Source organism: Homo sapiens, chromosome 16, assembly GCF_000001405.40.
Source record: "Homo sapiens chromosome 16, GRCh38.p14 Primary Assembly".
NCBI lineage: Eukaryota > Metazoa > Chordata > Mammalia > Primates > Hominidae > Homo > Homo sapiens.
In genome coordinates this window covers 57,975,299-57,989,440 of record NC_000016.10, presented here as the reverse complement: position 1 = coordinate 57,989,440, position 14,142 = coordinate 57,975,299, and the positions used below count along the sequence as shown (strand labels likewise).

General features: G+C 50.9%; 1 protein-coding gene across 5 annotated transcripts, besides 1 other annotated feature; it reads right to left on the bottom strand.

Moving 5' to 3' along the window:
- Positions 1 to 1,324: 1,324 nt before the first annotated feature.
- SPMIP8 (sperm microtubule inner protein 8) lies at positions 1,325 to 12,897 on the bottom strand. 5 transcript variants are annotated; one of them, NM_199046.3, is made up of 8 exons: positions 12,807 to 12,897; positions 11,402 to 11,626; positions 5,077 to 5,138; positions 4,631 to 4,805; positions 4,174 to 4,235; positions 3,895 to 4,040; positions 3,500 to 3,532; positions 1,325 to 2,045 (listed from the first exon to the last, which is right to left on the bottom strand). In NM_199046.3, exons 2-8 carry the CDS (start codon positions 11,622 to 11,624, stop codon positions 2,015 to 2,017), a joined length of 732 nt encoding a protein of 243 aa, NP_950247.3. In that variant the 5' UTR covers positions 11,625 to 11,626; positions 12,807 to 12,897; the 3' UTR covers positions 1,325 to 2,014. The 5 variants fall into 5 exon arrangements, with proteins under 5 accessions (NP_950247.3, NP_955535.3, XP_047290033.1 ...); NM_199456.3 differs by having other exon boundaries at positions 3,895 to 3,959; XM_047434077.1 differs by lacking the exon at positions 4,174 to 4,235 and having other exon boundaries at positions 3,895 to 3,959.
- Positions 4,082 to 4,231: an enhancer, noted in NCBI's record as "active region_10918". NCBI's record gives its function as "activates an Ori minimal core promoter by ATAC-STARR-seq in GM12878 lymphoblastoid cells {active_cell/tissue: GM12878}" and the evidence as "EXISTENCE:reporter gene assay evidence [ECO:0000049][PMID:35858748]".

Below are 14,142 nucleotides of genomic sequence, written 5' to 3'. Positions count from 1 at the left end.
CATATACATATTTATATTTATATATTTTATAATCTATTTATATTATTGAAATCAGGATTAAATTTACAATCAGTGGGCAAGAAGCTTTAATTAAATTGCTGGTGTGGGTTGCCATTCATGGGGTTTGGGCTGGGAGAACATGGTCTATGTGTGTACTCATGTGATCACCTCTACTTTCAGGTTCTCATTGGCTGGGCCTGCTGGGCTGGAGGCACTTCAAAGGCAGGGAGGGCATCTTGTCTGTGTCCTCCCAGCACCAGCAAAGGGCCTGGCCCAGGCAAAGCTCTTTAGTGTTCGCTGGGCTGTATTCTGGCAGGGACTTGCCCAGTCATTCAAGGAAGCAGGGCCAGGAAAAACACCCCAGTCACTTGATGCCATCTGGCAGGCTTCAGCATGTCTGCTGGGGTTCTCTGGCTGGCCCACCTCTCCCAGGCCAGGATTCTAGCATCCCTGCTGTGAGCCCTGGGCAAGTCCAGCTCTTCTCTGAGTTGTCATTTGGAGGGGACACTGGGTGGCACAGAATGTGGCTCTGACACTCCAGGCGGCTCTGCCAGTGGCTTCCCAAGTGCAGTCCCAAAGTGGACACATGATTCTGTACATGATTTCAGGAGGTCTGTGGGTCCCTGAAGCCCCAGGTTTCAGGACCAGAAGTCCTATGCAGGTAGATTTTTAGCTTGGTAGCTATTTATCCTGATCTGGGTCCATGCTTGCCAGCTGCCCACAGGTGGGATGGGAGTAGGGTATCTGAAAGGTCCTGGAGCTAAGCACAGATGCTAGCAGCCCTAACTCCCTGATATGGTTTGGCTGTGTCCCCACCCAAATCTCATCTTGAATTGTAGCGCTCTTAATTCCTTCATGTTGTGGGAGGGGGCCAGTGGGAGATAATTGCATCACGGGGGCGGTTTCCCCCATACTGTTCTCGTGGTAGTGAATAAGTCTCACGAGATCTGATGGTCTTATAAGGGAAACGCTTTCGCTTGGCACTCATTCTCTCTTGCTGCCACCATGTAAGAAGTGCCTTTTGCCTTCCACCATGATTATGAGGCCTCCCCAGCCATGTGGAACTGTGAGTCCATTAAACCTCTTTCTCTTCCCAGTCTTGGGTATGTCTTTATCAGCAGCATGAAAACAGACTAATACACCCCCTTACCATGCTGGAGATGCTCTTCCCTAGCCCCCTGGATGGCGTTATTCCAGACCTGGGCCAGGAGTCCCCACACTGTCCCCGGGACATCATACCTTCCTTTCACAGGAGTGGCTTGGAATGGATGGTTGGTGGGTAGACAAGGGCTAGTCCTGAAGCTTCATGGATAGAGCAGAGGACTTTTTGCTTAAATGACATGTTTATTGGTGGTGCTTTGGAGAGCGGGGAACTTTCTTCTCTGAGTGGCTTCATGCATCTCATGCAAGTTTAGACTCTACATTCTGTTGCGTCACAGGAATCAAGGCCATAGGCCTGGCCAGCTCCCCTTGCCCCAGCCTGCTCCCACACCTTCAGGGGGACCCCAGGCACAGGGAAGCCCCCCAGAGCACACCAGTATGACAAGAGCTTCAAAAAGGCACCTAAAAATAGCTTTCTAGCCCTCTCCCTTTCTTCTTAGGGCTCAAATTCAGGATCTGAAATGGAGGGGGCTTGGGTGTGGGGCTGCAGGCAAGGGGCTGGAGCACATCTCTTGCTCTTGGATCTCAATTCTGGCTGGACCTTGCGGCTTACACCCTGACTCTCAAACCAGGTCACCAGACATTTTTCTCCAACCCCCCACCAGTCCTCCAGGAGTTGGCCGGGGACGGGCAAGGGTAAGATACTGTCATCCTGTGGCCCTGACCCTCTCCCAGGCTGTGCAACACACACAGACAGAGACAATTGCGTGTGTCTCTAAGGGAGCATTAGGTTTATTTCTAGTTAGGCTGAACTCCTGGGGAGATGGCTGGTGCCACCATAAGTCCTCTGTCTGGCCAGGGGACCTGAGGTGGCACCGTCCGGCAGCCTGGGAGTCAGCCTCCTTTCCAGAGATTAATGCCAGGGGGTCAGGTAGTTGACACGACTGTGGAGAGAAGTAGGGGTGAGGTGGGGGTTTCCAGGGTGTCCTAGGGGAAAAATCAGGCTTTTCCCCTCTAGGATCTGAAAACACAGCTTCCAGCCAGCCTCTATGTGGCTCAGGAGACTTCAGTGGCTCCCTGTTTTCTGTATTTTCAGCTGTCCTCCTTAGCTTTCAAGCTAACCTCCCTCCTTTGACTGTGCCTCATCCTTCTCTCCCATTGATACCTAACTATGAACAGCTTCACCCATTTTTCAATCATTTAGTGAACCTACTCTGTTAGGCATCATATGGTAGCAAAACCCAGAAACGTTTCCCCGTGTGGGAGACGGGAAGGCTGGTTTCTGTCAATAATGACAGTGCAATAGTCTGAGTATTGCACTCGATACTCAGGGACACAAAGGTAGTGACCAATGGGAGGGAGTGTGAGCCGGTGGGGAGAGGCAGAGGGTGGGGGAAGACTTCAAGGAGGATGGCACATCTGGGCTGGGCTTTGAAGAGCATGAAGGAGGCCGGGCACTGTAGCTCACGCCTGTAATCCCAATACTTTGGGAGGCTGAGGTGGGTGGATCATAAGGTCAGGAGTTCGAGACCAGCCTGACCATCATGGTGAAACCTCATCTCTACTAAAAATACAAAAATTAGCCAAGCTTGGTCATGCGCACCTGTAATCCCAGCTACTCAGAAAGCTGAGGCAGGAGAATTGCTTGAACCCGGGAGGCGGAGGTTGCAGTGAGCTGAGATCAGGCCATTGCACTCTAGCCTGGGCGACAGAGTGAGACTCCGTCTCAATAATAATAATAATAATAATAATAATGGCACGAAGGAGTTTTCCAGGCAGAGGAGGAAGGGCCATCTAGGCGCTGAAACAGCACAGGCAAAGGTGTGAAGAGTGCTTGGTCTGCTGGGTTTCGGGGGAGTCTAGTCTGGCTGGAGTGTACAAAGTGGGGCCGGGAGGGTGAGAGATGGCTTAGTTATGAAAATGTTTGAGTATCCTGCAACCTCTTGCAAGAGGTGCTTATCTTGGAGATAAGAACTCTTGTTCTTATCTTATCTCTTTACTTGTGGGGCGACCCTGCCGGGAAGACCACTTAGCCCCCTCCCTTAGGGCCTCTCCGCACCCTAAAAGGCAGATTCTCGGCTCTCTCCCTTGTGTTTCTTATTTGTCTGTTTTCTCTCCTTCTAGTTAACATCCTCGCCCTATCCTTTTGGCCTCCTCCAGTCAAACCTGGTGGGATGTGGACCCCCTCCCGCGTCCACCCCCACCCCAGTGGGCTGCACATTTGCCAGGGGCGGATCTCTCCAGAGCGAAGCAGCTCGCGCCCTCCCAGGAGGGCCCCTCCTCCTCGCCAGGCCTCGCTGGGGCAGGGGGGTTTCAGAGTCAGGGAGCCCCGAGGCTGTCCCCAGCAGTCGGATGAGAACGTGGTTGGCTGTGGGGCGGGACAGGACCGTTCCCCTACCTGTAGCTGGAGCCGAAGCTTCGGAAAGTGTTCCTGGGAAAGAACGGGGCGGGTGAGCACGAGATGGGAAGGGGCGACCCTCTCTGGGCGCCTCACTCGACCTCGGGAGCCACCCCCTCTCCCCGCCATCCCTCCTGAAGGGTTCCAGGGCGCCTTCACCCAATGCGAACGCCTCCACTCCGCAAGGGTGGAGTTGTCAGGGAGGGCAAGGTGCTCCGTTTAGTAGGAATTACACATGTATTCATTTGAAATTGCAATTTGTTTCTGGTGTATTGGAGCCAATTTTTCCCAGTTCTCACGTTTTCAAGGGGCATTGCCTGTGCGCTAGGAAAGCGGCCCAGACCTCATCCTCCCTCCTCCAGATATGGGGTCCCCGGGCGCGTGGCGTCACTTACAGGGAGTCGAAAGGCAGGGGCTTCTGTCCGTAGCGGTCCAGGCTGGGGTTCTGGCTGAGGCAGTACTGAGGCGGGCAGCAGGGATAGGGGCGCGGTGAGTCGGGGGAGCACGGACGCCCTGCCCACGCCCCACACAGGGCTTCCTGCTAGAGACCGTGGTCCTGAAGACTGGGAGGCCCTGCTCTGGGTCTCCTCCCCCCTCAACCCCCGGCTTAAGCCGCTCCCCACCAGGACCCCCGCTCCCCGCTCAGGGACGGGTCTGCGCGCAGCGCTCCCTACCCGCCAGGTCTGGGTCACGTCGGGCTTCAAGTACCGCACCGCGTAGCCGCTGAGACCCTCCGCTGCGAACAGAAAGCCCCTCTCGAGCGCTCATCCGCCCCCCCCCAGGACAAGCCCCGCCTCCTCATCTAAGCCCCGCCCACAATCCAGCCCCGCCCACAATCCAGCCCCACCCACACGTGTACGGAGAACAGGTCCCGCCTCCGCTGCCCCACCAGGGCAAAGCCCCCGGCCCGAAGGCTCCGCCTGGCTCCGCCCCCTCCCCAAGGGCAGTCCTGCCTCCAGATCCGCGCGCACGTCTCGGCTCCACCCACCGCAAGTGCCACAGCTTCATCTCAGCGGCCCCGCCCTGTTTCTGCCTGGCCCGCCGCCTGCGTTCCCGTCCGCAGTCCACGTTCCCTGCTCCAGCCCCGCGGCCCACCTGCCCGGCAGTTCCTTCAGCGGCCCGTAGACTGACCTCGCTTCCTCAGGCAAGGCAGCTTGAACTCCCCGGCCGAGGACACGAAGTGGGACCAGTCCTCGATGGCGCGCGTGAAGCAGGGCCAGTCCACTCGGTTGATGCCTGGCGCGATGGGCGCCAGCTTTCCCTCGTGGTACCTGTTGCGAAGCTTCTGGCCTGTGGCGGTGATGTCCTGACAGGGCCACGGGGGTCAGGCCCGCGCGGCCGTAGCCGCAGGAGCCTAGGGAAGCCATCCCAGTCCATCCCAAAGGCCTCAGTTGACAAGTGGCCCGGTGCATTGGACCGAGGGGGCGCCCGAAGTCGTGAACCCGGATGGGGTGATGTGGGGAGCGGGAGTCCCAAGCAGGCACCTGAGAAGGTGCGCGGGGTGTAGATCCCAGGACCAGAGGTGCTTGGGGCTGGTGCCCCTTAGCAAACCCAAGGGCAGGGCAAAGGACACTCACCAAACACTGCAGGGGTTTGTTGGGGACCCCAAGGAGTGTAAAATGGGCGTTGTCAAATTCATCTGTTGAAACAAGAGAAAGGGAGAAGAGGTGTCTCCTTCACCAGTGGTCAGAGGTCATAGGAGAACTTTGGCCCACACTGTACTTTAAAAATTTTTTGAGGCCGGGCACGATGGCTCACACCTGTAATCCCAGCACTTCAGGAGGCCGAGGCGGGTGGATCACTTAAGGTCAGGAGTTCCAGACCAGACTGGCCAACATGGTGAAAGACCATCTCTACTAAAAATGCAAAAATTAGCCAGGCATGGTGGCGAGCACCTGTAATCCCGGGTACTCGGGAGGCTAAGGCAGAAGGATCACTTGAGTCCAGGAGGTCGAAGCTTCAGTGATCATGCCACTGCACTTCCACCTGGGTGACAGAGCAAGATCGTGTCTCAAAAAAAGAAAAAAAAGGCTGGGCACGGTAGCTCACACTTGTAATCCCAGCACTTTGGGAGGCCAAAGCGGGTGGATCACTTGAGCTCAGGAGTTCGAGACCAGCCTGGGCAACAAGGTGAAACCCTATCTCTACCAAAAATACGAAAAATTAGTTGAGTGTGGTGGCACGCGACTGTAGTCCCAGCTACTAGGGAGGCTAAGGCACGAGGATCACTGGAATCCAGGAGGTGGAGGTTGCAGTGAGCTGAGATTGCGCCACTGCACTCCAGCATGGGCAACAGAGCGAGACTCTCTTAAAAAATTTTTTTTTAATTTGACAACTTAAAAAAAATCTAAGATAAAATAGTATTCACATCTTACCTTTGCAACAGAATAAAACTCCAAAGATTCCAATGTAAAAAGTGAACATGGGCAAATTCTTTTATAATCTTGGGATGGGAAAGGCCTTAATAATTTTAATTAAAAATCCAGAAGCTTTAAAGAAAAGATTGATAAGTTAAATACATAAAAATAAACTTCTACATGGCAAAAACAAATGTCAAAAAACAAATGGAAAAAATATTTCCACTTATTTTACAGATATTAATATTAATTAATATTCCTTAATATTGAAAGAGTGCCTAGAAATCAAGCAAAACAAAAAATGCCAGGTATGGTGGCTCGAGCCTGTAGTCTCAGCTACTCAGGAAGCTGAGGCAGGAGGATTGCTTGAGCCCAGGAGTTTAAGGCTGCAAGTGAGCTGTGATCATGCCACTGCCCTCCAGCCTGGGTGGCATAGCGAGACCTTGTTTTTAATAAATAAATTAACAAGTTGAGGAATTTCTCTATACAAGAACTCCAAGGTGCAGATGGGTATATACAATATGCTACCATTTGCTTTAAAAAAAATTTTTTTTTGAGACAGAGTCTCGCTCTGTCGCCCAGGCTGGAGTACAGTGGCGCGGTCTCGGCTCACTGCAACCTCCGCCACCCAGGTTCAAGCGATTCTCACGCCTCAGCCTCCCGAGTAGCTGGGATTACAGGTGCGTGCTACCATGCCTGGCTAATTTTTGTATTTTTAGTAGAGATGGGGTTTCACCATGTTGGCCAGGCTGGTCTTGAACTCCTGACCTCAAGTGATCTGTCCACCTCAGCCTCCCAAAGTGCTGGGATTACAGGCGTGAGCCACTGCGCCCGGCCTACTGTTTGCTTTAAAATGGTAGACTAAACATAGACTGTTGGAAACAGAGAATATATATTCAGGTCATCACCTTAACCAAATAATCAAACTTAGCATCACAAATAATGTGATAATGAAATTCTGTGCCTCCTGCTGCAGCATTATGGCAAACACGGCATCTGTCGCCTGTGAAAGATTCTGGCCAGCAGTGTTTAACCTGGTGATTCAGATCTCTACACCTAGCTGCTGGTTTACAGAAAATAGATTAACAAGATAAGAAACACCATGAAGAAACAGTGGCTCAAATTCACCATATGGGACTGTCTACAACACAACTGTTAGAGACTTTAAAAAGTCAGTATGATGGTGGGCAATGGAAACTGGGTGGACTGTTTTAGACTAAGACAAAAGACATAACAAGTAACTGAAATACGTAATCCTAGATTGAATTCTTGTTCCAAAAAATCATTTTAAAGCCAGAAAAGACATCTTTGAGGGCAATTGGGGAGATTTTAATATGGTCTGGATATTAGATGTTGTAGAAGTATTGTTAGCTTTCCTAGGTGTGATAATGGTATTGTGTCATGTAGAAGGATGTTTTTGTCATTGGGAGCTGCTTGCTAAAGGGTGTCCAAGAATGTAAGAGAGAGGGCGAGAGAAGCAAAAATATGGCAAAAATCAACTGAAGCAGGAGGAAGGTGGTGGGTACTCATAGTAGTATTCTTTCAACTTTTCTCCATTTGAAAATGTTTATCATGTAAACTAAAAATAAAATCCTGAGGTCTCCGCAATGTATTGACTGAGCGGACCCCCCTCTTGGCTAAGGGGATCCCCCAAAACCTTGAAAAACTGAGTTCCCAGCCATAATGGGACAGGAGGTCAGACATGCTTCATTCCACCCCTGCCTTTTTGCGGTTTAGACACAATAAATGACCAGCATTAATGTTAAACTAGCAATCACAAGGCCAGGTGCGGTGGCTACGCCTGTAATCCCAGTGGTTTTGGAGGCCAATCACTTGAGGTCAGGATTTTGAGACCAGCCTGGCCAACATGGTGAAACCCCATGTCTACTAAAAATACAAAAATCAGCTGGGCGTAGTGGCACACGCCTGTAGTCCCAGCTAGCTACTCAGGAGGCTGAGGCAGGAGAATCACTTGAACCGGGGAGGCGGAAGTTGCAGTGAGCCGAGATAGCGCCACTGCACTCCAGCCTGGGTGACAGAGTGAGACTCTGTCTCAAAAAAAAAAAAAAAAAAAAAAAAAAAAGAGAAAGAGAGAGAGAGAGATTACAAGACTAAGAGAACAGACTCTTTGTGGCAATAAGATACCAAATTATAATAATAATAATAATAATTATTATTATAATAATAATAATTATTATTATTATTGAGACGGAGTGTCACTCTGTTGCCCAGGCTGGAGTGCAATGGCGCGATCTCGGCTCACTGCAACCTCCGCCTCCTGGGTTCAAGCAATTCTCCTGTCTCAGTCTCCCAGTAGCTGGGATTACAAGCACACACTACCACACCTGGCTAATTTTTGTATTTTTAGTAGAGACAGGGTTTTACCATATTGGTCAGGCTGGTTTTGAACTCCTGACCTCAGGCGATCCACTTGCCTTGGCCCCCCAAAGTGCTAGAATTACAGGCGTGAACCGCCACGCCCGGCCAAGATACCAGATTATTAACAGGACCTAAGGCCATGCCAGGCAAGGGTTAAGTCACGCACCCCTACACTTAAAGAATAAACTACAGGCTGGTCGTGGTAGCTCACGCCTGTAATTCCAACACTTCGGGAGGCTGAAGCTGGAGGATCACTTGAGCCCAGAAGTTGGAGACCAGCCCTGGCAACATAGTGTAACCCTGTCTCCACACAAAACAAACAAACAACAACAACAGCAACAAAAATAGCCTGGCATAGTGGTGTGTGCCTGTAGTCCCAGCTACTCAGGAGGCTGAAGTGGCAGGATCACCTGAACCTGGGAGGTCGAGGCTGTAAAGAGCCATGTTTTTGACATTGCACTCTAGCCTGGGTGATGGAGAGAAACTCTGTCTAAAAAAACAAAACAAAACAAAACGAAAAGCAAAACACAAAAATAAATAAGCTATGTTTTAATTGCCATGAGGTTTTTCTTTTTCTCTAGCCCTGGACTTGAGATAAGCAATATTAAAACAATTACAACTCATACAGCTCACAGATGCTGATGAACTGACCCCCTGATCCACCAGCCACAGCTATGCCTTTGATTGCATAAGAGGCTGATTTCAGTAACTTTCTCCAGGTAAGAAGACCACCAACCATGGACTGGTCCTGCCCAGCATACAGAGGCTGCTCACTTGCTGGGCTTCGCGTCCTGAAAAGAACTTTTGACGTATAGGGACTAATTGTAATACATTTAAAGGTTAAGTCTCCACCTCAAAGCGAACATGGGTTGTATGTTACATGCATGTTTGTTCAATATGCCCATGTCAGTACTATCTTCATGAATATTCATAGCTCCTCCTATAAACTATTGAATATGTATGTTTAGCCAACCCTTTGAACATAAAGCTCTTACCCAACCCCTCCTCCTTTGACATGCCTATCTTTGGGCTTAAGCTGGAGGCACACTTTCCAGCCTGTGGGATGGCCACCTGGCAGCTATAACCCCTTGTAAGAAATAAAGTCTCCTTTTCTAAACTTATACATTTATTTTTATTTTTTGAAGATGGAGTCTCGCTCTGTCACCCAGGCTGGAGTGCAGTGGCTCCATCTCGGCTCATCGCAACCTCCGCCTCCCGGGTTCAGGTGATTCTCCTGCCTCAGCCTGGGAGCTGGGATTACAGGCACCCGCCACCCCGCCCGGCTAATTTTTGTATTTTTAGTGAAGATGGGGTTTCACCATGTTGGCCAGGCTGGTCTCGAACTTCTGACCTCACGTGATCTGCCTGCCTTGGCCTCCCAAAGTGCTGAGATTGTGGGTGTGAGCCACCGTACCCTGCCTAAATTTACAAATTTCTGGGTTTTCAGTTAACAGTAATAAAAAGTTGGGGAGCAAAATAACATGTGTTTATATTCCCATTAGTAAACCAGGGAGAGACATCAGAAACTAAGAATGTGGTGGGGGGGTGGTTACCTGTATGCGGGGGCAGTGGGAGTGAGCCTTGTTGCTGTGCATATTGTTATAGCATTTTGAGCTTTGAAGTTCTGACTATTACTTTTACTTAAAGCATATGCTTACAATAAAATACATATCTACATCAGAGCTTTCCTTAAAAATCTAGATTCCTGGCTTCTCTCAGAAGCGGGAAATTGGAAGAACTGGTGACCTGGCTGGCCCCTCCAACATAGCACAGTCTGTGGGGAACCCCGTGGCTGCCGTTTAAATAGGGCAGGTGTGGGTGCCCCTTTTCCCTGTGGAGTGTTCCTTCCCCACGGCCTCCCCACCCACTTCCCTCACTTGTGTTTCCCATTAGGGCCCATGTGGCAACTCTGGTAATCTCCGTGCGGTCTCTGACACCCTCAGCCCACCTGTCACCCAAGCTGGAGCCTAGGTATGGGCCTGCACTCCCCCTGTTTGGCCTCCTACCCTGCCCCGCCTGCACCTACTCCTGTTGACTTTATCTGCTAAATACCTTCTAAATCCCTCCACACGCAAGCTCCTCAGTCCATGCGGGGTTATTCACTAGGCCCGTGGGGCTCTTTTGCCCTGAAGGCCCACACGTCTTCCTCTCCTGCATGGGGGCTGTGAGGAGAGGTCTTTCTCTCTCTTTTCCACATACAGAGATGCTTGGGCAGAAGTTACTACTGTTATGACTCCTACCACTGCACCTGTCAACCTCTGCCCAGTTCTCTCTCCATTAATTACAACAGGCTAGGCACAGTGGCTCATGCCTGTAATCTCAGCACTTTGGGAGGCCAAGGCAGGAGGATCGTTTGAACCCAGGAGTTGAGACCAGGCTAGGCAACATAGGGAGACCCTGTCTCTACAAATAATTTTTTAAAATCAGCAGGGCAGGGTGGCACGTATCTGTGGTCCCAGCTATTCGGGAGGCTGAGATGGGAGGATCATTTGAGCCTGGGAGGTCGAGGTTGCAGTGAGCTGTGATCATGCTACTGCACTCCAGCCTGGGCGACAGAGTAAGACACTGTCTTCAAAAAACAAAACAACAATAACAACAATGGCATCAGCAATACTTTTTGAGCACATATTATGTGCCAGGCACTACTCTAAGTGCTTTTTTTTTTGAGACGGAGACTCACTCTTGTTGCCCAGGCTGGAGTGCAGTGATGTGATCTCGGCTCACTGCAACCTCCGCCTCCCAGGTTTAAGCAATTCTCATGCCTCAGCCTCCCAAGTAGCTGGGATTACAGGTGCCTGCCACCACGCCTGGTTAAGTTTTGTATTTTTAGTAGAGATGGGGTTTCACCATGTTGACCAGGCTGGTCTCAAACTCCTGACCTCAGGTTATCAGCCTGCCTTGGCCTCCCAAAGTGCTGGGACTGCGCCCAGCCTCTAAGTGTTTTTTGTGCCTTATCTCCTTCTAACCCCACAACAACACTTTGAGGTAGGCCTTGTCAATTATCCTCATTGTACTGAGCAGTAAACAGAGGCTCAGACCTGGCCAAAGTGTCCTGGGCAGGGAGCAGCAGAGCTGGGACTGGCCTCTTTCATCCTTGCATCTGTCTCCCTCTTTCCTGAAACCATCTGCCCCTTCCCCAAAGGGGATCCTACACTGGTGTCCTAACCTTTGCGGCAGTAGGTGGTGGACTGGCAGTGCTCATCAGGAAGGCAGGCCTTGACGGTGTCCCTGTCCATGTGGCGCAGGGTGGGCAGGGCTGGGTGGTAGAGCTGCTGCTTCACGCCCGCCAGCTGGTTGCGCTGCCGCTCCATGGGAAGCAGGATGGCCGGGGAGGCATACACATGTGTGGAGCCATCGTCCCAGGGCACCAGGTCAATGATGCGGGCCATAGCTGGGGGGCAGAGGGTTCTAAGGGGCTCACCCTGGGCTCATGCTGGCCAGACACCCTTCTCTGCATGAAAACAACCTTGGCCAGTGCCGATGTCTACTTGCCAAACATTTATTTAGCACCTACTGTGTGCCAGGCCATTTTTCTGGAGCTCAGCATGAGGTGGCAGGAACATTCAGATAACAGAAGATAACAGAGACAACCCTCCCACTCCCCTTCCAACACACACATACACACACACACACACACACACACACTCACATTGTGCCATGGCTGTGAGGGAGGTCAGTACAGAGTGTGTGTTTCTGGGGAGGCTGGGGTTAGGACATTCAAGGAATGGTCTAAAAGAGGTGGTATTTGAGTCTATTCGTTTTTTTTTCTTTCTTTCTTTTCTTTTTTTTTTTTTTTTTGAGACAGTCTCACTCTTCTGCTCAGACTGAAGTACAGTGGCGCCATCTTGGCTCAATGCAACCTCTGTCTCCTGGGTTCAAGTGATTCTCCTGCCTCAGCCTCCTGAGGAACTGGGATTATAGGCATCCACCACCACATGTGACTAGTTTTTGTATTTTTAGTAGAGACGGGGTTTCACTGTGTTGGCCAGGCTGGTCTCGAACTCCTGACCTCAAGTGATCCACCCGCCTCAGCCTCTCAAAGTGCTGGGATTACAGGTGTGAGCCACCTTGCCTGGCGAGTCTATTCTTAAATAATAAGCAGGAAAGTGCAGCAGCAAGCGGGTTCAGAATGTAGCTTAGTATGCCGTATACCTCTGGGTGAATAATTATGGACTTGCCCTAGCTATTTACCCAAAATTCTACAGATTGACTCAGAAAGATTTTCAGGAAGGGGAGCAACATGATATATTTAAACTAGAAAAGCATTACTGGATACCCAGTGCCTCCCTTTAAAAAGCAGATAGTCCCAGGAGCCTTTCAGTCATTTACACTTTAGTGAGAATTTGTTGAGACAGCTTGCTTTCTTCCTGACCCTGAGTTAGAGGTGAGAGGTGGAGGTGGAAGCTAGGGTGGCAGGAGGAGAGAGGACCTTAGATCATGGAGGAGCAGGGAGGGGGCATGGTGACAAGGCATGGGGAAGCTGCCTTAGGGGATGTGACTGCCTGGGGAGGGACAGGGAGGGGGATCACGGATATGGGGAAGAGAGCAAGGGCTCCCTGCTTCTGACTCACCAATAGCAGCTACCTTATCTGTAGGGCCCAGGCCCAGGTGCACAGGCTTATAAGGACTTTCAGTTCTTTGACTGCTCAATGGGCAGAAGAGGAAGGGAGGTGGACGAGCCCTTATTATGGACAGCAGCAGAATAAAGGAACATTGTGCACAGACAATGCCCATTGCAGCCTGATTCTGAGGCACCCACTCCTTAGCAACCCTGGCAACTACAGGCTCTAACAAGAGCCTGTGCCAGAATTCCTGTGCTCTGGCCACTCCCTTCCAGCCTTCCTGAAGGCTGTGGTCTCCCAGGCCTTAGCACAGGCCAGGCATCTTGGGAAATGTCAGATGGGGAGCTGGGGTTCCCTGGAGGTAGTCAGGCCAAGGCAGGCCAGAAATGGCTACTGAGCCCACTGCAGGCTGTGTAATCCTGGGCTAATTACCGCCTCTCTCTGGGACTCAAGGCTCTCCTCTGTGTTAGGCAAGGACTCTAGGATCTGCCGTTAGGAGGATCTGGATGCTGAGAGGGATCTCCCCTCCCTGGAACCCTCAGGGAAGAGGGCACTGCACTGTCTGCCAGCCCTTGAGTCTCCAGGAGTGGAGATTAGCTGTGGCCAGTATCCAGGGTAAGCGTGAGGGGATCAGGGAGAGTGGTGGACTCAGCAGGCCAGGGATTAGCAGATGATACTCCACCCTCAGCCCCTGCAGGACTGCAGGCTCCCAGAAAAGCCAGGCTGTGAGTGCCCAAGGCCAGCACCCCAAAGCCCTGGGGCCTGCCCACCATCCTGGTCACAACCATTAGAGACAGACCCCCAAGGTGAGGAAACCCCAGGAGATCCTAACTTATTTGCATATATTGGCATGTGCTTTTGCATATACCTGCCCAGGGGCTGAACCTGATGGGTCTTGGAGCCCCTCCTGTGAAATTCTTGTAGGATTTGTTTCCCCAGTTGCTCCTCCTCCAGTGCTCCATACAGCTTCCAGAACAGCATTCCTAACTGCTACCCCTTACAAAAAACCTTCCCAGAGTTGACTCCACTCACCACCCCACCCCCAATTTATTTCTTGACTCTTTTAAAGTTATAAAATAGAAGAAATACAGAAAGTGAATAAATATCTAATGTAACTAATAATTTACAAAATGAGACCCCGTATAACTACCACCCACCCTGGTCAAGACATGGAGTACTACTTTTAAAACAGTTTATCAGTTTCTTAAAAAATGAAACAGAAATGTACCATATGATTGGGTCATCTGGAAGATTCTACCCCAGGAGGCTTCCCAAGAGAAATGAAAGTATATTGTGAGGCACGATGGCTCACACCTGTAATCCCAGCACTTTGGGAGGCTGAGGT